The 26,260-nt window shown below is 35.8% G+C and overlaps 1 protein-coding gene across 11 annotated transcripts in view; it reads left to right on the top strand.

Annotated features, from left to right (window-relative positions):
- Positions 1-24,284, top strand: part of TTC29 (tetratricopeptide repeat domain 29) — a 239,248-nt gene extending 214,964 nt beyond the window's left edge. For 6 of the 11 annotated variants that reach the window (NR_133922.3, NM_031956.4, XM_006714339.3 and 3 more), the window contains 2 exons: positions 23,350-23,416; positions 23,713-24,284. Coding sequence is in view for 8 of the 11 variants with exons in the window: in NM_031956.4 (NP_114162.2) it covers positions 23,350-23,416; positions 23,713-23,743 (98 nt within the window). In the remaining 3 variants the exon portion in view is untranslated. Of the gene's footprint in view, positions 1-23,349; positions 23,417-23,712 lie in introns of those variants that run through there. The other 5 variants (NM_001317806.3, XM_006714336.2, XM_006714335.2 and 2 more) reach the window with 2 other exon arrangements.
- Positions 24,285-26,260: the final 1,976 nt, after the last annotated feature.

Below are 26,260 nucleotides of genomic sequence, written 5' to 3'. Positions count from 1 at the left end.
TAGCAACACTCTTTAAAAGAATCATCCACATTTGTTGTTTGTCTAATTCCTCCCTTCCTATTCTTTCCTGAATCCACTCAGATCAGGTTTCCAGTCCCACCTTCAACTGAAATTGCTGTTCTCAAATTCATCAATGGCTTTCGCATCGCCAAACACAATAGTCATTTCTCAGTCCTCTTCATCTTATTTGACCCATCAGCAACAATGAACAAAGTTGATAACTCCTTCGTCATATAAATTCTTCCTTCACATGGCTTACAGGATACCATACTGGCTCCTTCTTCCTCACTAGCTGCTTCTTCCCAACATCCCCTGCTGGTTCCACTTCATTTGCTTGAACCTTAACTGTTAAAGTGACCCATGGCTCAATCTTTAATTTCTTCTTTTTGCTATTTGCATTCATTCTCTAATTATTATATCCAATTTCATGACCTTAAATATTATCTATGCACTAATAATTCTCAAAATTATCTATCCAGCCTAAAGCTTTCTCTTGAATTCCTCACTTGTGTACATAATTCCTATCTGATATCTCCACTCGAATAGTTAATAGACACCTCAGACTTAGAGTGGCCAAAATCATACTCTAATTCACCCAAGTTAATCACTTAGGGTAATGCCCTCCAGCTGCCTCCACGTTGCTGCAAATGACATGATTTCCTTCTTTTTTATGGCTGTGTAGTATCCCAGGATTTAACATTATTATAGAGAAAGAAAGAAGATACTATACAAGATATGGAAAAATATGAGGAGAATGTATACTTATTTACATAGATATAAATGCTCAGCTGAAAAACCAAGGAAAATCCAATGAAAACCCTTATAAAAATAAGATAACTTGGTAAGATGTGTGAGTACAAAGTTAGTATGTAAAGAATAATACTATTCTAGCTTCTGCTTGTAGAATCCATGAAAGAGTGTCAATCCCACCTAATATGGTTTGGCTTTGTGTCCCCACCCAAATCTCATCTCTAATGGTAATCCCCATAATCCCCACGTATCGAGGGAGGGTCATGGTGGGAGGGGATTTGATCTTGGGGGCAGTTTCCCCCAAGCTGTTCTCATGATAGTGAGTTCTCATAAGATCTGATGGTTTTATAAGTGTTTGACAGTTCCTCCTTCACACTAGCACTCTCTTGCCTGCCGCCATATAAGACATGCCTGCTTCTACTTCTGCCATGATTGTAAGTTTCCTGAGGCCTCCCCAACCCTGTAGAACTGTCAGTTAATTAAACATCTTTTTTTAAAATAAATTACCCAGTCTCAGGCAGTTCTTTATAGCAGTAGGAAAACAGACTAATACACCATCTTTATAACAAAGCAAACCTTTTTGAACCCATTAGACATCTGATTTCACAGAGCAGACATCCAAGCTCTACAATCAAAGATGAAGAAAATGACAACATGCCTTCATAAAAAACTCTGCATGACAAAATATATGATAAACAAGTTTAAAAGATAAAAATGAACTCGGAAAAAAGTCTTCAAATGTCACAAAGAGTTTATCTCCTTCATAGATCAATAAACAAAAGAACAATCCAGTTTTAAAAAGGAAAAGGAAAAGAGAGTTAAATGAAAAGTCAACTTTAATGTGAAAAATGCTGAACTTTACTCATGTTAGGAGAAACGTAAATGAAAAATGTAGGAAGCACTTTTTCAGCTATCAGATCAGCAAATGTTTGATAATACAATTTATAAGTTAGTATAAGATGGCACAAGATCTCCCACATATTATTAGTGAAAAGAAGAGATACGGCCTCCAAGGAGAGTAGTTTGGCAATATCAAAATGTAGAATGAACAAAACTTTGGCCCAATAATTCAAAGTTTATACAATAGATGTACCAACACATTCATTCATTCAACAACTATTTATAATATATCCCTATGTGCCTGGCATTGGCTGAGGGAGGCACTGGGGATACAGCAGAAAACAAAACAAAGTCCCTTCCTTCAGAGAGATGATTCACTAGAGGGCATCTAGACAGATACGTACATATATATATACATACACACATATATATATACACACACATATATATGTGTATATATATACATATATATGTGTATATATATGTATATATACACATATATATGTGTATATATACGTATATATACACATATATATGTGTATATATATGTACATATATCCTCTGGACAGTTATACACACATATATACACATACACACATACATTTTAGTACCCAGTATTTTATATATAATCATATATGTGTATATATATAGAGAGAGAGAGAGTAGTAGTAGTAAAAGTAAAATGTTATATTAAAATAAATAAATAAATAAATTGGCCCCATTCCATCATTCCCTGTCCCTGTATAAATGGGGCAATTTTATTTTAGATAGAATGGATGGGGAAGACCTTTCAGGCAAGGTGATATTTCAGGAGAGTAAAGGAAGGAGTGTACCATATGATTATCTTGGGGGAAGCAGTCCAGGCTGAAGGGCAAGCAAATTTTAAAAGCCTTATATATGTGTAGGAGTTGATTTTCAGTATTACAAAAGATTGCAAACAACTTAGATGTTCAACAGAACACTGAGTGACTGGTTAGATTATGGTACATTGCTGCGTGGAATCTTTTTTTTTTTTTCTTTTTTTTGAGATGGGCTCTCACTCTGTTGCCCAGACTGGAGTGCAGTGGCACCATCTAGGCTCACTGCAACCTTTGCCTCCATGTTCAGGTGATTCTCCTGCCTCAGCCTCCTGAGTAGCTGGGATTATAGGTGCCCACCACCTCGCCCGGCTAATTTTTGTATTTTTAGTAGAGACAGGGTTTTGCCATGTTGGCCAGGCTGATCTTGAATGCCTAACCTCAGGTGACCCACCCACCTTGGCCTCCCAAAATGCTGGGATTACAGGCATGAGCCATCGCACCTGGCCCTATGTGGATTCTTATTCCAGTTAGCAATGAATGAAGCAACTCCGTATGTACTAAAAGAGAATTATCAAGATAATGAGAAGACAAGCTTGGCAGTTTCTTATAAAACTAAATGTACTCTTGCCATATGATCCAATAATTATGCTCCTTCGTATTTATTCAGCTGAGTTAAAAACATGTCTACATAAACACCTGCACACTAATTTTATAGCAGCTTTATTAATAATTGCCAAAACTTGGAAGCAACCAAATGTTCTTCGGTAGCTGAATTTATTTTAATAAACAGTGGTATATCCCGACAATGGAATATTATTCAGCACCAAAAAGAAATGAATTATCAACCTATGAAAAGATATGGAGGAATCTTAAATGCATATTACTAAGTGAAAGAAGCCAGTCTGAAAAGGCTACATATTATATGATTTCAACTCTAGGACATTCTAGAAAAAGGCAACACTATGGAAAAGATTTTCAAAAATCGGTGGTTTCAGGGAGGGAAAGATTAATTGGCAAAGCACAGAGGATTTTTAGAGCAGTGAAACTATTTTATGATTCTGTAATGGTGAGTACATGTCATTATATATTTTTCAAAACCCAAAGAATGTGTAACACCAAAAGTGAACCCTAATGTAAATTACGGACTTTGGGTGATAACGATTTGTCAAGGTAGGTTCATCCATTATAAGAAATGCACCACTCTCGTGCCAGATGTCAAAGTGGGAGAGACTGTGCATGGTATATGGGAACTCTGTACTTTCTGCTCAGTTTTGCTGTAAACCGAAACTGCTCTAAAAAATAAAATATGTAAAAAGAGAGAGAGAATGATATCTAATATATATTGCTTCTTAAAAAGTACAGAAATGTGTGCATAGTATGGTGACATTCATATAAATATAAAACACAAATTTATATTATATATTTTATATAAATATATATCATTTTATCTTTTTATAAGTGCATGGAACGTATCTGAAAGAGTAAGAAACAGTAACAGTGGTTGCCTCTAGAGGAAAGGAAGTAAGTAAGTGGGATCAAGGATTTCAAACAGATTTTTCACTGTCTACCCTTTTTTAAAAATGTACCACGTGCAAGAATCATCTATGCAAAAATTTTTTAATTTTTAAAGTAAGGAATGTGATCCACAGAGAATAATTACAGAATTCTTAGGGCCTATTATTTTCTTTACTCTTTCACAAAAGTTAATAAAGTTCTGTAATAATGTCAATGCAAAGGAACTGTTCTATTTAGTTACTCTTCCAAGTTCAAACCCTTATGTGAGTAACTTAGTTTATATTTTATAATTTAGAAAAGGTGGCTTCATAAAGTCATCAGTAATATGCATAAAGCAGTAGATTCCCCTTAACATTGTTCCAAATATGCTGTCTATATACCATCTTCATGAAAAATATCACAAAACCTTGAGCAAGATAACAGGTGTCAAAAAGAAAAGAGTACTTTTATGACAATACTTGAAAAAGAAAACAGGCCAATCTGAGTAAGACATAACTGAGTAGGAGATGTGAAGGTAGGTACTGAGTCAAATATTTTTTTTCTTTTTGAGACAGAGTCTCACTGTATTAGGCTGGAGTGCAGTGGTGCAATTTCGGCTCACTGCAACCTCCGCCTCCCGGGTTCAAGCAATTCTCCTGCCTCAGCCTTCTGAGTAGCGGGGATTACAGGCGTGCACCACCACACCCACCTACTTTTTGAATTTTTGGTAAAGACAGGATTTCACCATTTGTCCAGGCTGGTCTGAAACTCCTGGCCTCAAGTGATCCACTTGCCTCAGGCTCCCAAAGTGCCCAGCTGAAATTTTTTTATACATGGTTTAGACCTGGCATGATGGCTTACACCTGTAATCCCAAACATTTTGGGAGGCCAAGGCAGGAGGATCACTTGAGGACAGGAGTTTGAGACCAGCCTGGGCAATATAGCAATACCGCTGTCTCTAAAATTAAAATAAAAAATTAGCTGAGTTTGGTAGTACACATCAATAGTCCTAATTATTTGGGAGACTGAGGTGACAGGATCACTTGAGTCCAGGAGTTGCAGGCTGCAGTGGACTATAATTACACCATTGCACTCCAACCTGGGCAACAGAGTGAGACCCTGACTCTAAAAATATAGAATAGGTGTATAGGTGTAAGGGACTCTATTCAAGTTGATATGTAATTTACTTGGCTTTCCGAATATGTGGAATGAAATGCTCTACAATATTGGAGCAAATCAACACTTTAAACTATATAGGCTATTTGGTTTTTTTATTCTCAGTTTCTTAGATCAGAAGATGGCAAGAATGATGCAGGCAAACACCTTGATGAAAGATGGATAGACAGGCAGACAGATATAATGGACAGATAGATATAAAATAGGCTTTTTGGTGATAAGACAATATAAAGTTTTCTTCAACCTAATTTAGTTACGTGGAATTAGCCATAAAAGTAGCCTTTTTTCCAGTAACTGTTTTTTTGAAACAAGGTATCACTCTGTCACCCAGGCTGGAGTGCAGTGGTGAGATCCCTGCTCACTGCAGCTTTGACCTCCCCAGGCTCAAGCAATCTTCCCACCTCAGCCTCCCAAGTAGCTGGGAATATAGGCATGCATCACCACATTTGGCTAATTTTTTAAAATTTTTTGTGGAGACAAAGTCTCACTATGTTGCCCAGCCTGGCTCAGAATTCTTGAGCCCAGGCAATCCTCCCGCCTCAGCCTCCCAAAGTGCTGGGATTACAGGTGTGATCTACCAGTCTGGCCTTTCCAGTAATTTTTATCATCTGAATAAGTACTGTCATATCTTTTAGTAGCATCTCTTTCACTGAAGTATAGTTTATATAATGCCTTTCCAGGAAAAATATGTTTGGTTTTAAGATACAGTACTTTTTTGTCCCTACCACAGTGCAATCGAAACAAAGAAGTTAAATTTGAAGGAGGCAGATTATTTGAGTAGAAAGGATAAACAATCTTCCAAAGCTAGTATTCATTCTCTCTTCTCCCCTCTATGCCCATATATACTCCAGTTACACTGACTGCAATGGGGAAAGGTGACTCAATACCTGTAAACTGCGTAAAAACCACAGAATCCATAAAAATTAAGATAAGTCGTATAGCTGAAGTCTTCCTCCATTAAGAAAGGAAGGAAAAACAAGCATGTATTTCTTTGAACTTAAATAATTATTTTAAATTATTTTAAGAAGCTGATGGCCAGGCATGATGGTGTGTAATCCCAGCACTTTGGGAGGCCGAGGCAGGCGGATCACCTGAGGTCAGGAGCTCAAGACCAGCCTGGCGAACGTGGTGAAACCCCGTCTCTACTAAAAATACAAAAATTAGCCAGGCGTGGTGGTGGGCACCTGTAATCCCAGCTACTCGGGAAGCTGAGGCAGGAGTATTGCTTGAACTCAGGAGGCAGAGGTTGCAGTGAGCCAACTTGTGCCATGACAGAGTGAGACTCTGTCTCAAAAAATAAAAAAATAAAAAAAAAAGAAGTTGAACATAAAAATCTCATTTCTTCTCTAAAGCATTTTATAAACTGTGACTAAAAGTTTAGACTTTTCCTTGTAAAAGGAGCAAATAATATATTCAAGAGGAAAATCAGTTCTTAAAAATTATCTTTTTTTATAATTTCAACTTTTATTTTAGATTTGGGGGGTACACATGCAGGTTTGTTACTTGGACATATTCTGTGATGCTGAGGTATGCAATAAATAGATCCCATCACCCAAATTGCGAGCATAGCACCCAACAGCTAGATTTTCAATCCTTGCCTCCTTCTCTGCCTCCCCGTTTAGTAGCCCCCAGTGTCTATTTTTGCCATCTTTATGTCTATGAGTACCCAATGTTTAACTCCTACTTGTAAGTGAGAACATGCAGTATTTGGTTTTCTGTTCCTGCATTAATTCACTTAGGATAATGGCCTCCAGCTGCATCCATGTTGCTGCAAAGGACATGATTTCACTCTTTTTGTGACTGCATAGTATTCCATGGTGTATATGTGTGCCTTTTCTTTATTCGGTCCACCATTGATGGGAAACTAGGTTGGCTCCATGTCTTTGGTATTCTGAACAAAGCTGCAATAAACATGTGAGAGCATGTCTTTTGGTACAACAATTTATATTCTTTTAGATATATACCCAGTAATGGGATTTCTCAGTTGACTGGTAGTTCTGTTTTCAGTTCTCTGAGGAATCTCCAAACTGCTTTCCACAGTGGCTGAACTAATTTACATTCCCACCAACAGTGCATAAGCATTCCCTTTTCTCCACAGGCTCACAAGCATCTGCTGTTTCACTTCTGAATAATAGCCATTCTGACTGGTGTGAGATGGTATCTCATTCTGGTTTTGATTTGCATTTCTCTGATGATTAGTTATGTGGAGCACTTTCTCATACGTTTGTTGGCTCTTTGTATGATTTCTTTTGAGAAGTGTCTGTTCATGTCATTTGCCCACTTTTTAATGGAGTTTTTGTCTTTTGCTCATTTAATTAAGTTCCTTATAGATTCTGGGTATTAAATATTTGTCAGATGCATAGTTTGTGAATATTTTCTCCCATTTGTAGATTGTTTACTCTGTTGATAGTTTATTTTGCTGTACAGAAGCTCTTTAGTTTAATTAGGTCCCACTTGTCAAATTTTGTTTCTGCTGCAATTGTTTTGAGGACTGAGTCATAAATTATTTCCCAAGGCCCATGTCCAGAATGGTGTTTCCTGTTTTCTTCTAGGATTCTTATTGTTTGAGGTCTTACATTTAATTTTTTTTTTTTTGACGGAGTTTTGCTCTTGTTGCCCAAGCTGGAGTGCAATGGTGTGATCTTGGCTCAGTGCAACCTCCGCCTCCCAGTTCAAGTGATTCTCCTGCTTCAGCCTCCCGAGTAGCTGGGATTATAGGCACGTGCCACCACACCTGGCTAATTTTTTGTACTTTTAGTAGAAACGGGGTTTCACCATGTTAGCCAGGCTGGTCTTGAACCCCTGACCTCAGGTGATCTGCCTGCATTTAAATCTTTAATTCAGGCCAGGTGCCGTGGCTCATGCCTGTAATCCCAGCACTTTGGGAGGCTGAGGCGGGTGGATCGCTTGAGCTCAGGAGTTTGAGACCAGCCTGGGCAACATGGCAAAACCTTGTCTCTACTAAAAATACAAAAATTAGCAGGGTATGGCGGTGCATACCTGTAATCCCAGCTACTGAGGTGGCTGAGGAAGGAGAATTGCTTGAACCCAGGAAGCAGAGGCTGCAGTGAGCCAAGATTGTGCCACTGCACTCCAATCTGGAAACAGAGTGAGACCCTGTCTCAAAAAAATAAAAATAAAATAAAATAAACCTTTAATCCATCTTGAGTTACTTTTTGAATATGGTAAAAGGTAGGGGTCCATTTTTTTTTCTTCTGCATATGGCTAGCCAGCTATTCTAGCACCATTTATTGAATAAGGAGTCTTTTTTCCATTGCTTATTTTTGTTGACTTTGTCAAAAATCAGGTGGCCGTAGGTGTGCAGCTTTATTTTCAGGTTCTCCATTCTGTTCCATTGGTCTATGTGTCTGTTTTTGTACCAGTACCATGCTGTTTTGTTTACTGTGGCCTTATGGTATAGTTTGAAGTTGGGTAGTGTAGTGTGGGACCTCTGGCTTTATTCTTTTTGCTTAGGATTGCTTTGGCTATTTGGGCTCTTTTTTGGTTCTGTATGATTTTTAGAATTGTTTTTTATCCGTTTGTGAAAAATGATGTTGGTAGCTTGATAGGAACAGCATTGAATCTGCAGGTTGATTTGGAAATTATGGCCATTTCAACAATATTTATTCTTCCAATCCATGAACATGGAATGTTTTTCCATTGGTTTGTGTCATCTATGGTTTCTTTGAGCAGTATTTTGCAGTTCTCCTTGTAGAGATCATTCAGCTCCTTGGTTAGATGTATTCCTAGGTAATTGTGTGTGTGTGTGTGTGTGTCTATTGTGAATGGGACTCTGTTCTTGATTTGACTCTCAGCTTGAACGTTATTGTTGTATAGAAATGCTACTGATTTTTTTACATTGATTTTGTATCCTGAAACTTTACTGAAGTTGTTTATCAGTTCCAGGAGCCTTTTGGCAGAGTCTTTAGGGTTTTCTAGGTATAGAATCCTATCATCAACAAAGAGAGATCGTTTTATGACTTATTATACTATTTGGATACTTTCTACTTCTTTCTCTTGCCTGATTGCTCTGGGTAGGACTTCCTTACATAACTAATTTTTATGTACTTATTAAAGAGTTGTCCATAGATCTTGCTGTTGAATTTTTTTAATCTGGCGTTTCAAACCCACAGCTTTGTCTTTACTATATGTCTTTTGTACTGTCATATAAACTTTTAAGAATAGATGCGTTAACTCACTCTGTCTGTCTTTCAGTAGACATCTAACGGTCACCTTCTATGTGCCAACTAACATTTTATTGTGTCATATTTTTAAAGTAAATCATAAGCTGCAGACTGTTCACTCAGAAAACACTATGTATATACTAGCTCTAAGACATCATGCAAGGTGCTACAGATACAGGGACAAATATATTAGTTTTCAAAAGAGAAAAGTTTATAATCTGAAGATTACAAGGAAATGGTGATTATGTACTAAAATTCTAACCATAAAAATTTCTCCAGAAATGACTTCGACTTATCAGTCAAAATGTATACACATTTGTATCGTGTGCACTTTGAGTGTTGAGAAAACATGCTCTAACACAGAGATGCTCTGCTTTTCTGTGACTTTTCATATTTGACCCACCGATTAAGCTGTTAAGGAACCTGAGTCCTACCATGGAAACCCAGCAGACTATTTTTATTGGGACAAGCATTTAAATGCATTTAACTTTATTCCTTTAAAGTCAGTATTTGTTTTGAAACTCTGTGTCCCCTACTAAATTAATTGTTTTAAGAAATTGTACATAAAAACCTCATTTCTTCTCTGAGGGTCATGCACTAATTCAGAGGGTTATGCCATAATTGCAGATTAAACTTCCCATGCCCCTCCTCAGCCATGTACCTCTGAATCTATCTAATTTGAAATCAATTACAAACTGCACCCAAGCACCTATCCCACAAATGTGTGTTTTTCACTTGGGTTCTCAATGAATATCTGTTGAGTGTGTGACAAATGAATAGAGATTATCATTTGTGACTGACACTGTGTATATTCAACATAAACCATATTACTACCAGAAAAGCAGTTTTAAACTTGCATCATTCTGAGAGTGGAGTAGTGTGAATCTCTGTCTTATTCATTATTATACAAGCAGAATAAAAAATATGCTTAGTCAAAAGAGTGTCTACTTGGTTTGCTATTGAGTTCTACAAAACACATGACATAATGGGCCAGAGCCAGTCTAAGTGGCATTTCAGGAGTCTTTGAATATTATTTTTATTTCTCATTGTCCTCACTTTCTCTGAAAAGAATGACTGATAGCCTTTCCATGTCATATCTTGGCTTTTAGAAGTGTTGTTTTATCTATTTTTTATGACTTAACCTTACATTTGTTAAGTGTAATTTTTGCTTTACGTAACATAAAAATTCTGTGATATGATGCCCCATGAATTAACAACAGTGGCTGGACCAAAGACAAGAAATCTTTTAAAAACAAATGTTCACATTAAATACCTTGGATAGGTAGGCCTTCTGGGGGTTTTTCTTTAATGCAAGAAAAGTATACCATTTCTGTTTTCAGGAATAGTTTCTTTTAGGTTTATACTGAGCTCGTCTAAAGTCGTATTACATAAGTAAGGGCTTAGTTTGTACATTAGTATTTTACATCTTAGAGTCTTACTAAATCCTTTTTTGATCAATCTGATATTGAACAGATCTATATTGATTTCTTCTACACATGTTTATGGTATTTATTTTTATATATCTAGGATTAAAAGCCAAATTAACAAGTGTAATCAATTTTCTCAGTGATAAAGAAAAGTCTTCTAGTACTCTTAGACACATTCATCTAGGGACAAAATCTTAAGTGAAGATGTTGTAATAAATGGATCGATTTATTCAATCACTGGGCATGAAAACATTAGCCCTGGGAAAGCATTTTCCTCTAAGCACTTTAGCTACCAAGTTTCACTTACGTGGCACCAAATGATTTGCATTTTTAGAGAAATTTCATGACTGCAGTGAGCTCCAATGAAAACATGAATAAATTGCTTTTTTTTTCTTTTTCTGACTTTATGAAGCTGAATCCATTAGGGGTTGAATCAAAGTATAATGAAATAAAGACAACAACTTACATGATGGAAACCCTAGATTTGATTTCTCACTAGGCCAATCTCAGTTGTCATAGCCTACATGTCAGATTAGTGGTTTTCAGGAAGATCCCTGGAGTATGTGACTTTTTTCTTAACTGCTGCATTAGGAATGGTCTCTAAAAGACAAGAAAGTAAATAGACAAACAACTATTAAGAACTAAATAGGTTTGCTGCAGTAATTCTTGCCACAAAGTCAAATAAATCAGTCTTTCCAAGCCTAACGCTATACACTTGCCTAAGAGGTTTTCTTAAGACTTACCTTCCTTTTGAATTCATTGAAGTGAGAATGAGCACAGAAGCTATGAGGATGGATTTAAGATCCAAATTAACCTGGATTTGAATCTCCAATGAAATAGTTATCAGCTGTGTGAGATTCAGCAAGTTAATCTCTCCAACCTTTTGTTTCCTTATCTGTACAAAATGAATAATAATACCTAAAGCATAGGGTAGTTGAGAGATTTAACGTCATTTTTCATAAATAGAAAAGACAATCCTAAAATTTATATGGAACCACACAGACACACACACACACACACACACACACACACACACACACCCCAATAGCCAAGGCAATGATGAGCAAAAAGAACAAATCTGGAGGCATCACACTACCTGACTTCAAAATATACTACAAACTGATAATAATTAAAACAGTGTGATACTGGCAAAAAATAGAGTTATTGACCAATAGAACAGAATAGAGAACCCATAAATCAACCCACACATGTGTGTATGGTCAATTGATTTTCAAGAAAGGTGCCAAGAATACACAATAGAAAAAGGACAGTCTCTTTAATAAATGATGCTGAGAAAACTGGATATCCGTATGCAGAATGAAATTTGAACCTTAACGCACATCATACGCAAAATCAATTCAAAATGAATTGAAGACTTAAACATAAGACCTGACACTGTTAATGCCACTAGAAGAAAACATAAGGGGAAAACTATGTGTCGTTGGTCTAGGCAATAACTTTTTAGATTTGACCCCAAAAGTGTAGCAACAAAAGCAAAAACAGACAAATGGGATTACATCAAAATTAAAAGTTTCTGCACAAAAAAAGAAAACAACAGAGTGAAGAGAAAACCTATGCATTGGAAGGAGATGTTTGCAAGCCATACATCTGATAAGGGATTAATAACCAACATATAAAAAACTCAAACAACTCTACAGAAAGAAAGCAAATGGTCTAATTTTAAAATAGGCTAGGGACCTGAATAGACATCTCTCTCAAAAACAAAGACATAAGTGGCGAACAGACATATGGAAACATTGCTGAACATCATTAATCACTAGTAAACTAAAGTCACAATGAGATATCAAACCACACCTGTTAGAACGGCTGTTACCAAAAAGATGAAAGGTGAATGTTGGCAAGGAGGTGGAGAAAAGGGAACCCTTGTGCACTATTGGTGGGACTATAAATTAGTACAACCATTACAGAAATCTGTATGGAGTTTTCTCAAAAACTAAAAATAAAATTACCATATGATACAGCAATCCTACTTCTGGGTATTTACCCAAATATTTGAAATCAGCATGTCAGATGTCTGCAGTCCCATGTTCATTGCAGCACTATTCCTAATAGCCAAGTCATGGAAGTGTCCATAAACCAATGAATGGATAAAGAAAATGTGATATATATATAATGAAGTATTATTCAGCCTTAAAAAATGATAAATCCTGTCATTTGCAATATCATAGATGGAATTGGAGAATAGTATACTAAATGAAATAAGCCAGGCATAGAAAGACACATATAAAATGTTCTCACTTATATTGGAATCTAAAATAATCTAACTCAAAGAAGCAGAGAGCAGAAGGATGGTTATCAGTGGTGAGGGAAATGGGAAGATAATGGTAAAAAAGTACAAAGCCTCAATTAGACAGGAGGAATAAGGTTTTTTCTTTAAGATATATTGCACATCATGGTAAATATAGTCAGTAATAATGTATTGTACATTTCAGAATCTCTAAGACGGTAATTCTCAAATGCTCTCACCATAAAAAAATGATAAGCATTTGAAGTGCTGGACACACAAACTAGCTTGATTTAACCATTTCACATTGTATTCATAGATCATAACATCACTTTGTACCCCATAAATATATATAATTATAATTTGTCAATGTACAATTAAAAATTAAAGCTAAATAATAAAGTGCCAGCTGGGCGCAATGGCTCACACTCGTAATCCCAGCACTTTGGGAGGCTGAGGTGGGCGGATCACCTGAGGTCAGGAGTTCAAGACCAGCCTGGCCAACATGGTGAAACCCCATGTCTACTAAAAATACAAAAATTAGCCGGGCATGATAGTGGGCCCCTATAATCCCAGCTACCTGGGAGGCTGAGACAGAAGAATCGCTTGAACTGGGAGGCAGAGATTGCAGTGAACCGAGATTGTGCCGCTGTACTTCAGCCTAGGCGACAGAGTGAGACTCCATCTCAAAATACTACTACTACTAATAATAATAACCATACAAGTGCTGACCATATTCCCTATTACAAAATATGTTCTCAATCCATGGGAAAAAATTTATATTTACTTATTATCTAAATGTTGCAACTGAGCAACAGCCAAGCAGCTACAACTCCTTTTTCCAACATGCTATTAATATTTTACTCCTACTCTACATAGTTAAATATAAATCCATAAAGCAACGATTGTCAAACTTTAATGGGCGAATGAATTACCTTGGGATCCTGTTAAAAGGCAGATTCTGTGTTACTAGGTCTGAAGTGCGGCCTACATTTCTGCATTTCTAACAAGCTCCAGGAAATGTTAATGCTCCTGGTTTGGAGACCACACTTTGAGTAGCAGACATATAGGTCACCTGGAAACTGGTGACTTCTTTCAAAATGTATTTCTCACTGTCATTGTTTTAAATAGACCAGTTCATTCTTATGAAAATTTAAGAGGAAGAATATCTTAGCTGGGATGTACAAGGTTTTGATTTTTAATTTTGGTGAGGGAATTGTTTGGGTTTTTCAGAGATGTTATTTCTAGGAACTACTTTGCTGCTGACCAGATATATATATTTACTCATCTTATAATACTATATTTGGACTGGATACTGTATATCTACAGTATCTCTTCTTTGGAAATCTCAACATACATTAGAAAACTCAATTTTTACGAAAACATTCATTTTCACATCTCTGGATTATTCATTAAAAATATCATCCCCTGGATGATGGATGTGTTTACAGCATAGATTTTGAATGGTTTCACAGACATATACTTAGCTCCAAACCCATCAAGTTTTATAAATTAAATATGTACAACTTTTATTATGTCAATCATACCTCAATAAAGCATTACAAAAAATTATCTCATATAATTCTCTGTTCTAAAGTACAGAGAATATGAAAAGAACATGAATACAGAGCTTGTATATTTTCCAAACTGTTACTCTGAAGTAACCAGAAAAAGAAAATTCAAACCTACCTATCAGCATTTAGTTTCATATTATATGTATTACACTGCACATAATTTGGTCAACAAAATTAAACTTTCTGAGTGATAATGAAATGGTCATTTCTTTGAATTCATTAGCTTATCTTCAAGCCTCAGATCAGGGGAATATATGAGAAGGATAAGTTTTCAAATTAATGTTTAAATTAGAGACAGGCTTTCTTATTTTCAGATTCGAGAGATGTTGATTTTTCAAATCTTATTTTTTTTCTATCCAGAATATTTAAATGAAAAGTGTAAACTAAAATGTAAAAACAAAAATAATGATCAGTGTATATCTTTAACTTTTCACAACCTACCTTCAAGTGACATTAGATCATTTAACACATAGTGTAAGAATTTTTTCCCTTTTATTTTTAGTTGACACATTATAATTGTAGATATTTATGGAATACAGGATGATATTTTGATACGTGTTTACAATGTGTAATGATCAAATCAGGGTAATTAGCATAGCCATCACCTCAAACATTTATCATTTCTTTGTGTTGTGAACATTCAAAATTCGGTCTTCTAGCTTTTGGAAAATAGTCAATAAATTATAGTTAACCATATCCACCCTGCAATTCTACAGAACACCAGACTTCATTCCTCCTATTTAGCTGTAATTTTGTATCCATTAACCAACATCTCCCACCTTCTCCCATCCCCCGACCCTTCCCAGCCTCTAATACCCACTATCCTATTCTCTACTTCCAAGAGCTGGAATTATTTTAGCTTCTACATGTCAGTGAGAACATGCAGTATTTATCTTTCTGTGCTTGCCTTATTTCACTGAACATAATGTTCACCAGGCTCATTTCTGTGGTGGCAAATGACAGGATTGCATTCTGTTTTGTAGCTGAATAGTATTCTATTGGGTATATACACTACATTTTCTTCATCCTTTTGTCTGTTAACGGACACTTAGGTTGATTCCATATCTTACCTATTGTAGATAGTGCTGCAATACACATGGACGTGCAGGTATCCCTTTAATGTATTTATTTTATTTCCTTTTTATAAATACCCAGCAGTGGGATTGCTGGATTGCATGATAGTTCTAGTTTTATAGTTTTTTGAGAAACCTCCATAATGGCTGTACTAATTTACATTCCCACCAACAGTAAAACATAGTATAAGAATCTTATAGGCCAGGCATGTTAGCTCATGCCTGTCATCCCAACACTTTGGGACACCAAGACAGAAGGATTGCTTGAGGCCAGGAGTTCAAGAGCAGAGTAGGCAATGAAACAAGATCCCATCTCTACAAGAATTTTTTTTTTTTAATTAGCCAGACATGGTGGCATACGCCTGTAGTCCCAGCTACTTGGGAGGCTGAGGAGGCAGGAGGATTGCTTGAGCCTGTAAGGTCAAGGCTGCAGCAAGCGAGACCCTGTCTCAATAAAAGAAGAAGTTTACAATTACATCCTTCCATTTCTCCCCTTCTCACCTTTGTGCAACGTTGTCATGCATTGTACTTACCTCTGATGCTCTTCATTTGTTTACATAGATCCAGATTGCCATGTGGTATCATTTTTCTTCTGCCTTGAGGACTTGTAGTGCAAATATGCTGCTAATGAATTGCTTCAGCTTTTGTCTGTCTGAAAAGCCTTTATTTTTGCCTTCATTTTTAAAAGATATTTTCAGTGGGTATGTCATTGTACATTTTATAGGTTTTTTTTTTTCTTTTTCTTTTCGTACTTTAAGTTTCTTAAGCTTGGGGTCTGTTGAGCTTCTTGGATCTATGGGTTTATAGTCTTCAGCAATTTTAGAAAATTTTCTGCCCAATTTCTTGAACTATGTTTCAATTCTTTCTCAATCTCCTTTTTATAATGCCAGTAAATGTCTATTAGGCTGCTTAAAGCTGTCTTATGGTTTACTGATAATATGTTCATCTTTTTGACTCTCTTTCTTTCTTCATTTTGAGGTTTCTACTACTCTGTCTTCAAGTTTATTAATGTTTTATTTTATTTTCCATGTCTCTACTTAACATTTTAAATATCTAAAATACAGTTAGAGTAACTTTGTTTTTGTTCCTAATTCTAATAACTATGTCTGTTCTGGGCCAGTTTTGATTGCTTTTTCTCCACATTGTGCCTTTTTGCATGTTTTGTATTCAAACATATTTCTTGTCTTTCAGAAATCACTGGCTTTTGTTGTCTGATGTCCAGTGTCTTCAAAATCATTGTTTCATATATTTTGTTCAGGATTTTTTGGGTAGGGAGGAGTGTTTTAGGAAAAGAGTCAATCTGATTTCTGTTACACTGTCTTGAATAGAAAAAAATTGCGGGATTTATAATGTAGCAACAATCAGAGAAATAAAAAGAACTGTATGAAGACATTAACACACTATTTATCTTAAGAAAGTATTTAGTGTCTGGACAGATTAATAGACCTGAATCAGATATTCTCATTAAAAGTTTAGATGCCCAGAAAAAGAAATTCAGTATCATTCTATGTCAATATGGTATCTTCAATGCTTCATTCAGGCCTAGTTGCATTCCATTTATTCAGAATAATGGTGTGTAAGGTTAAAAAAAACCCTATACTTTTGAATTGGAATATACTTCTGATCTTTGCATAAATTTTAATTGCTTGAATATTAATAAAAGCCCTTGGCAAGGGAATTGATATATACCAGATCCTGTAATATGAAAGAACACGTCAGTTTTTGACACTTAAGAGAGTCTATCCAAACTTGAAAGTGTCTCCTGCCTTAAAAGTTTCCATCTTGATTATTTTACTCATCAGATATAGAATTACCACATCATGATTTCTACTTCAAAACACAGATAAGAAAGATTAACTTTTTGTTTTGTTAACAACAAAATGTAGAAAAATATTACCCCCCAAATCACATATTTTTGATAGAGTGAGATTAACTCTATAATCTCAGGCTTTGATTCATAAATTTTTTACAAAACTGTAAGATGAGAAAGCCATGAATGCATGAATGACAAACCAATATTATAGAACAAGGAGGAGGAGGAGGAGGAGGAAAACGAATAAAGAAACACCCAATTATATGCCAACATTAAATATGTTGACGCTCAAACCACACTTCACATGACTAAATGTTTGCTAAAGGAAAACATTTGCATTTTATGGTTATTATATGCTACTTGTTTCCCCTCCCCCACCTCTTACACACACACACACACACACACACACACACGATCAATTCTCCCACCTTCTCTGCTCTGTGTCCCAGGAGACTGACTTCAGACTGCATCACACAGGCTGACTTGCTTTCTGGCTTCATCGTATGTATTTAGCCAAAGGGAGTCACCAGCAGATGAGAGGTTAGGAAGGTGGAGAGTTAGAATACTATTCCTCTGTCCCTCACTTCTTCAGCTCCTTTCTGACAACTGTGACACTCTACAACTGCTACTTCTAGATTTAGAAAAGGCAGTCCCTTTTCTAAATCTCTGCCCTCACCCAAAGTCCAGTGGCACCATCCTCTCTCTTTACCCTGAATTTAGACCCAGAGATGATAATGGCATGGCACCCTCTTTTGCAAGTCCCTAGGTGCCTCAATATCCCTTATTAGCTCCTTAGCCCTGCCCTCATCTCTTAATAGTCCCTTCATTAAAGTCTCTTCAAAATCCCAGTTGCATGTGCCATCTGTTTCTTCCTGACTGATACCCACTCATCTATTGTGAGTATCAAGTGGGTAGCTAAAGGCAAGCAAGTACAAGAAATATTAGGAAACCTCTGCTGAAAAGTTCAATTGATTAAGAGAACAGTGCTAATGAGGCCAAAATTAGTGTCTGGCTGTGTTCCAGGATCACAGCCTGCATCCCTGACCAGCCGTTTTACAAACCATCAGTTACAAGGTAGACCATGCCAAAGAGCACACATGAGTCTATGTCAATCCATCATCACTCCTGGGAACACAGCTCAAGGACTTAGCTGTTCAACTGAGATAGCGTCAAAATCATCTTTTTTCCCAAAGGACAGCTTTCGTAATGTGATTTTAATGAAAAAATTTATATGTTACTTCAAATAATAAAGTCATAACTGTCAATATCTTTTTCAAAGATGAGCTCTCATTTCATTCCTTATTTGTGGCTAATTCATAATAAAATAATTTAAAAGTCAAGCTTATCTAAATAAGCCTTTTATTGGTAATGGGATTCTGGGTTTATAAAAACCAGATTCATAGCCTTGAATCAGATATTCTCATTGTAATTAAATGAGTGAACCTATACAACCATCATATTAAGAATAAACAGTTAAATATTCTATTTATTTATGTATTTATTTATTTATTTATTTATTGGAAGGGATTTTCTCATTATCAAGTGTGATTGACAAGTTTTCAGTTCATATACACATTTCCCCCAAACAGAACTTCGTTCTCTTCAGTACAGTGGCCTTGTAAAATCATATTATAAGCAGGCCATTGTAGATGTGCCATTATATTAACATTGATATACTGGCTTACTTCCAGAGTAATTTTATATGATTTACATGGTGGGGAAGGGAGACTTCTGTTCCTTTTTCAGAAATCAGTTTCTGAGACTCTTTACTATCAGTGAGAGAGAAGTACTGTTTCTACTAAAATTGAATCTATGACTATCAATAAAATCTGCTGAAATACAAAAACAAAACATCTCATCGTTAATAATAGCATAATGTTACAATCACCTATAAGATAGGAGCATAGTTTATACGCAGTATTTATTCTTAATCAGTTTCATAAAACATAATCTGAGTTTTATTTTTTAACAAAAGCTTTTGAGTCATTATGATAAGGTCAACAGAAAGCACAGTCTTTTAACATTAGGTGATCAACTTTTTGACAATGGCAGGACCGGCGTAGCTAATGGAATAATAGCCTGCAGGGTCCAGCTAAATATGATATACGAATGTAATCAACCTCTGTGATGACTATTCAAAAGTAATCCCTTTAGCTTTGAACTGCAACATATATTTCAACAAGGCAAAAACCATATGAAGAAATTCTCTGCAGACCACACTGATACAATACAGCCTTCATATCATGCTCTCTGTGTTTGCTGCTTATAGTGAGTTTTAAATTTAAGGTAATGACTACTGTATATTCATGTGAGCATACAACAATACTTTTGGTTTGTTGAAGAAAGGTTGAATCCATTACCAGGGGTCTAGTCTATAAACTCTGACACAACCTTTATGAATGAGTTATTTACCCTTTTTTAGAGTAAGGCCACTACAAATGTTTAGCATGCCAAAATTATAAAAATTCATTTACCTTTCCAGTCCCCAAACTACCAGGTAATGTCTTCTCCATTTCAATTCATCCTTCTCTACAGATAACATTTTTAAAATCTTGTTTACATAGAATACTGTATAATATAAATATTATATTCCATTGTTTTCAAAAAAGGGATGCGATGGTGGATTTATAGCAATTTAGCATTTACTGGCTTATTCTATTGCTTTTGTAACGTATAGGCTAAGTGGTGGTATAAATGAGATCTTTTTGTTGCCCACTTGAATCTACCATTTCAGAGTCTTTACTATTAGCAACAAAGAAGTGCCAATTTCTACTGAAATGTAGATCGTATAAGCAAATATCACACTTCAACATGCTGTTGCTTCTAGTCTCCCTTACTAGAGTGGTACTGTTCCCAGTCTTCCAGCTCCCTTGAAGTCCTACAGATCAAACATCTCAAATCACACCTTAAGTCAGACCCATAGTGCAAAACCTAGGTTATAATCCAAATGAGTGTTTTTGCAGTGATGGAACCAAGAGCCAACAGTCCTGTGGCGAGTGAGTACCCAATGTCTAACACTCAGACCCAGAAGAAGTATCCAGTCATGCACCGCGTAAGGACATTTCTGTCAACAATATATGCCATACACAATGGTGATACTAAAAGTTTATAATGGAGCTGAAAGATTCCTATGTACTAGTGACATTTTAGCCATCATAACACTGTGGTGCAATGCATTACCTTTACTATGTTTAGCTATAGTAAATATTCATTATAGTGTTACAGATGCCTACAATATTCACTATAGTAATGTGCCGAACAGGTTCATAGCCCAGAAGTAATACGCTATAGTATATAATAGCCTAGCTATGTGGTAGGCTGTGCCATCTAGATTTGTGTAAGTACACTCTGTGATGTTTGTACAACAACATCACCTAATGACTCATTTCTTAGAAGGTATTCTTGTCGTTAAGTGACACTTGACTGTATATTACTTTGCTCATTTCATTGCTGAGAACTTAGTCACATGGCTTTAACTAAATAGTTCTCTACTGATAGGGAAGATCTAATAGAGAGGAAGAGCACTGATGAGTGGGAGGCAGAAGGAAGGACTGAAACCCTGTCTTGTCTAGACAAGAGGGCATGAGGTCTAGTGAAGAAGTAGAGGGATAGGCCTTAGGCAGTTCATTGGTACTAACAGAAGGGAAGACAGAGTATACAGAACAGAAGCAGTAGGTGAGTAACTCTTGCCACAAAGCTTGTGGACAATTTTCCCTATTGTCATTTATTTCCTCTATGAAGCCAGAAAATAAATCATCAGCTGAGAAAAGTGGAGGTTGGGAGGTTTGAGAAAAATAGAAGATTTAGTCATCTAGGGGAGTGGAAGAATGAGTGGACTAGGAATGTCTCATAGAATGGCCTGGAAGTGTAAGGGTCTACTTAATGTTTGTGGCCATGAATTTAAGACGAGGCATCTCAGGCCAGTTGTATTTTCTCCAGCCATATTGAACTATACAGTGCAGGAGAGGAGTAGGCAGATAACTAGATTTAACTAGGGCTATACTTTTGCCAAGTAAGCAAACAAAGTGAAAAGAAGAGAAATTTAGACTTTATGCAAGGAAGTAGATAACCATGGAATTTAAATTATATAAGGAAGGAAGAAGAGACAGAAAAATGAGGAAAAACAATGAAAAGGTGGTAGAATTGGAGGTTCCAATGAAGTAGAAGAATTGCTGGGGTCAGGATACCAGAGGGAGTGATCTGGAAATACAAAAGGAGGCAGCCAAACAGTTAAATGCAGGAAAATGAGCTAGAGGGGGCTCATAGTTACTGATAATGACAAGGTCTAAGTATGACCAGGAGAATTAATGGCTGTGGTAATGTAAAGGACAAGATGTAAAAGAACAGGAGGTCAAGGAATTGAGACTTAAGGTGGAATAATCTTCTACCTTTACATTGAAATTACTAAATTAAGAAAGTAGTAGTACAGTGACAATGAGGCAATGATAACATCAACTGAGAATGATTCCGTTTGTAGATAGATCACAATAGTGACAAATGGTTGACTGTATAATCTAATGACATGAGTGTTAGAAAGGGAAAGAGGAAGGGCAAGGGTCCTGAAAGAACAAGGAGGAGAGGACACCAACCCATCTTCAGGTGCAGTAGTGAGAAGACCGAGAAAATCAATAACAAAAATGGGTTTCTGGGCTGATAGTATCTTGAGAGAAGAGACAAATTTCTGTTAGAGCAAGAAAGTAAAAGGAATTTCAGAAAATAGGGTAAGGATATAGGACATTTTGCTAAAATAATGAATCAAATATTCCAAAAGGCAAAGTGGAACTCTTTCAGGAATTTCAGTGGGTAGGAGATGGGGACAGAACAGGAAAGGTAATAAAAAATAGAATGAAGGGACCTGAAAACTGGGGCCTGTCATAAACAGGAATAAACGGTACCTTATTAGATTAATCCCAGTTAATTGAAATCAAAAGTAAAAGGCCAGATATGAAAGTTAAAGTTAAGTAACAAATTAACATGGCTCTCTCTATGTATATAGATATACATATAATATATGATAAATGAAGTCATATATACACATATATCTACATATATAAACTTCCCATATTTGATTTCATTATCACAATATCATAATAATGAAGTCAATGTGGGAAGTTTTTATATATATATGTTTATATATGTATTTATATATATACACACACATACATGTGTATATATATATATATATATATATATATATATATATATATATATATATAAACTTCCCATATTTGACTTCATTATTTGGGTACTTTATATTGCTCCCTAAATTAATTTTCCTTTTGAGTATTATTTTTAAAAGTCATCTTACCCAACAAAAGGTGGCCTTTTCAGTAGCCATTTTATTATATCACAAGAATTCTGTGGATTAGGAATTCAGGCAGGGCTCGTCTGGACGTTAATTGAAGTCACTAAGTAGTATTCAGCTGACAGATGGGCTGGTTTGAAGGGTCAAAGGCAGCTTCACTCACAGGCTGGAGACTTGGCCAAGATGGCTGGAAGGCTAGACTCAGCTGGGACTGTCTGCTAGAACATCTATACGTGGCCATTCCAGCATGGCAGTCTCAGGGTATGAGGACTTATATGGTGACTTGCTTCCTCCAAAAAAAGTATCCTAAGATAACCAGGTAGAGGCTGCATAGCCTTTATGGACCTAGCCCCAGAACTCATTTTTGTTACTTCCTCCATATTCAGCTGATCACAAAAGAATCTTAAGGGTAGCTCAATTTCAAGAAGAAAACTGGATTCTACTTCTTCATGGGGGATTGACAAGATCGTGCTGTACAGGAACATGTGGAGTGGGAGAGATTGTTGTGGCCATCTTTGTACAATACAATCTGCCCTGGTGATACATACACCCTTATCTTATAGGTGATAAGGACAGATATCCCTGAAAAGGGATTCCCAGGTTCAAGATCAAAATAACTATAAACTGTGTTCATGATAATCTATTAACTTTGTGTATTTTTTTTTTAGAAGAGTTTAGAGGATCCACAGTGGAAGCTGTATCTCAAAACTCAGAACGTTTGGAAGAACTCAGTAGGTATGATAAATCAAGTAAAAAGTTTCTATTAAGTACCCACTTTGCGCAATATACTAAGCATAATCTCATTCTCCAAACACAAAAAGAGGAGCTTCATCCAGCACTTGATAACCTTAATAGTGAAACACTGCTTTAAAAAAAATCACAGATTTATTTTCAAATGTCACATAAGGTTAAGTATTTTTAATTTTGAAGCCACATCTGAAAATTACAGAAAACAAATTATTTTTCAAAACAAATGTTCTTTGCTTTCTAGCCCAGTATAAAAGTTAAATTTATAATTTATTTTATTTCAGGTTTCCAGGTGATCAAAAAAATGAAACTTAAAGCAGCTTTTCACTTAACATCAAAGCAAGAAGAAATCCATCATGTCACCTTAGACTTCAATACTTGTAATAGGAGCATGTTACAGATAATATAGAGTTATAATAAAACGGACTATGACTCTTTTCATTGGATTTTGCATTTCAGTGTGTTACTATAAATTTAATCCAAAACATCTAAATCCATGAAAATAAAATATATTCCAATTCTTAGAAATATCAGCAATCATCCATGAAATAAATGATTTCCTCTTATCCACTATTCCACAAGAAATAGTGATACCATGAAACCAAAATAAGAAAATATTTTCTAATGAGAAAATAATTACAAGCTTAAGAAAATCTTTCATGCTGAATTCATGTAGGAAAATATTTGCTAAAACTCTAGGGAAACTTCTCAACATAGATAAAAGGAGTATAAGCAATTAAGCCTACCATACTGATAAGTCTTGTTTGAAACAGTTTTCTTTACCTGTGTAACAGTATATTTTATGATACTTTTAGCTGATAGCACATAATAAAACTTATCCATGTCAACTTAAAAAGTTTAACTAAGTCCTTCAATCTTACAAGCCTTACCTAATGTGTCTTGCAAATGAAAGAACACAGCTGAGATGGTTACATGTATAATTTCAGGAGATCTGAAGATCTAAGGGAATTTATGAATTAAGTACATTACCAACAATAAAGCCTTTTATTCCCATTTAATCTTGGTTAGTATACAGTTTAAATCTGGTTTCTCAAAAGAAGAGTCCAAATAGCCAAAGCAATCCTAAGCAAAAAGAACAAAGCCAGAGGCATAATATTACCCAACTTCAAACTATATTATAAGGCCATAGCAGCCAAAACGGCATGGTACTGGTAAAAACAGACACATAGACTAATGGAACAGAATAGAGAACCCAGCCACACATACAGCCAACTGATCTTTGACAAAGTCGACAATAATAAGCAGTGGGGAAAGGACGTCCTACTCAGTGGGCTGAGACAACTGTCTGGCCATATGCAAAAGAATGAAACTGGACTCCCTGCCTTTTACCATATACAAAAAGTAACTCAAGTTGGATTAAAGATTTAAATGTAAAACCTCAAACTATAAGAATCCTAGAAGAAAACTTAGGAAACACCGCTCTGGACATTGGCCTTGGGAAAGAATTTATGACCAAGTCCTCAAAAGCAATTGCAACAAAACCAAAAATGGATAAGTGAGATTTAATTAAACTAAAAAGCTTCTGCACAACAAAAGAAACTATTAACAGAGTAAATAGACAACCTGCAGAATGGAAGAAAATATTCACAAACTGTGCATCTGACAAAGGTCAAATACCCAGAATCTATAAGGGACTTAATATAACAAGCAAAAAAGCCAAGTAACCCCATTAAAAAATGGCCAAAAGACATGAACAGACACTTTTCAAATGAAAACATAAAGCATCTAATAAACATGAAAAAATGCTTCACATCACTAATCATCAGAGAAATGCAAATCAAAACCACGATGAGATTGTATTCACTCCAGTCAAACGGCTATCATTAAAAAGTCAAAAAACAGATGCTGGCAAGGCCATGGAGAAAAGGGAATGCTTATACACTGTTGGTGGGAATGTAAATTAGTTCAGCCACTGTGGAAAGCAGCTTGGAGATTTCTCAAAGAACTTAAAAAAAGAGCTATCATTTTACCCAGCAATCTCATCACTGGGTATATATCCAAACGAAAATAAATTATTCTACAAAAAATACATATGCACTTAGATGTTCATCACAGCGCTATTCACAATAGCAAACACATGGAATCAACCTAGGAGCCCATCAACATTGGGGTTGATAGAGAAAATATGGTACATATACACCATGAAATACTATGCAGCCATAAAAAAGAATGAAACCATATTCTTTGCAGTAACATAAATGCAATTTGAGGCCATTATCCTAAGTGAATTAATAACAGGAACAGAAAACCAAATACCACATGATTTCACTTATAAGTGGGAGCTAAATATTGGGTACATATGGACATAAAGATGGGAACAGTAGACACTGGCAACTACTAGAGAAGGGAGGGAGGGGGCAAGTGTTGAAAACTACCTATTGGATACTATGTTCACCATTTGAGTGACAGGATCAATTGTACCTGAAACCTCAGCATCACGCAATATACCCACGTAACAAACCTGCACATATACTCCCTGAATCTAAATAAAAGTTGAAATTATTTTTAAAAAATGTTAGGTTCCTTTGAATGTTCCATGACTGAAGAGTAGAGACTCACCCTGCAGTGTGTAGAATCACTCTGCTTTCCACATGATATTGAAATTTTAGCACTCTGCCCAAGGAAATTATTCAGTGTATCAGTGTAATGAACATGAGTCAATGCAAATATCAAAAAATAATTGAAAAGATATATGGGTGAAAAAGTGTTTTCTTGTATTGTTTATTTAATCAGTAAAACCAATTTCCACAGTATCTCTGATTCCTGAACAATCTTTTGTAGTGCCCACAGATTTCCATGGCTTTTGCCCTA

This window comes from Homo sapiens, chromosome 4 (genome assembly GCF_000001405.40).
Source record: "Homo sapiens chromosome 4, GRCh38.p14 Primary Assembly".
In the NCBI taxonomy this organism is placed as follows: domain Eukaryota; kingdom Metazoa; phylum Chordata; class Mammalia; order Primates; family Hominidae; genus Homo; species Homo sapiens.
Note: the sequence above shows the minus strand (reverse complement) of the source record. Positions and strands in the feature narration are given on the sequence as shown.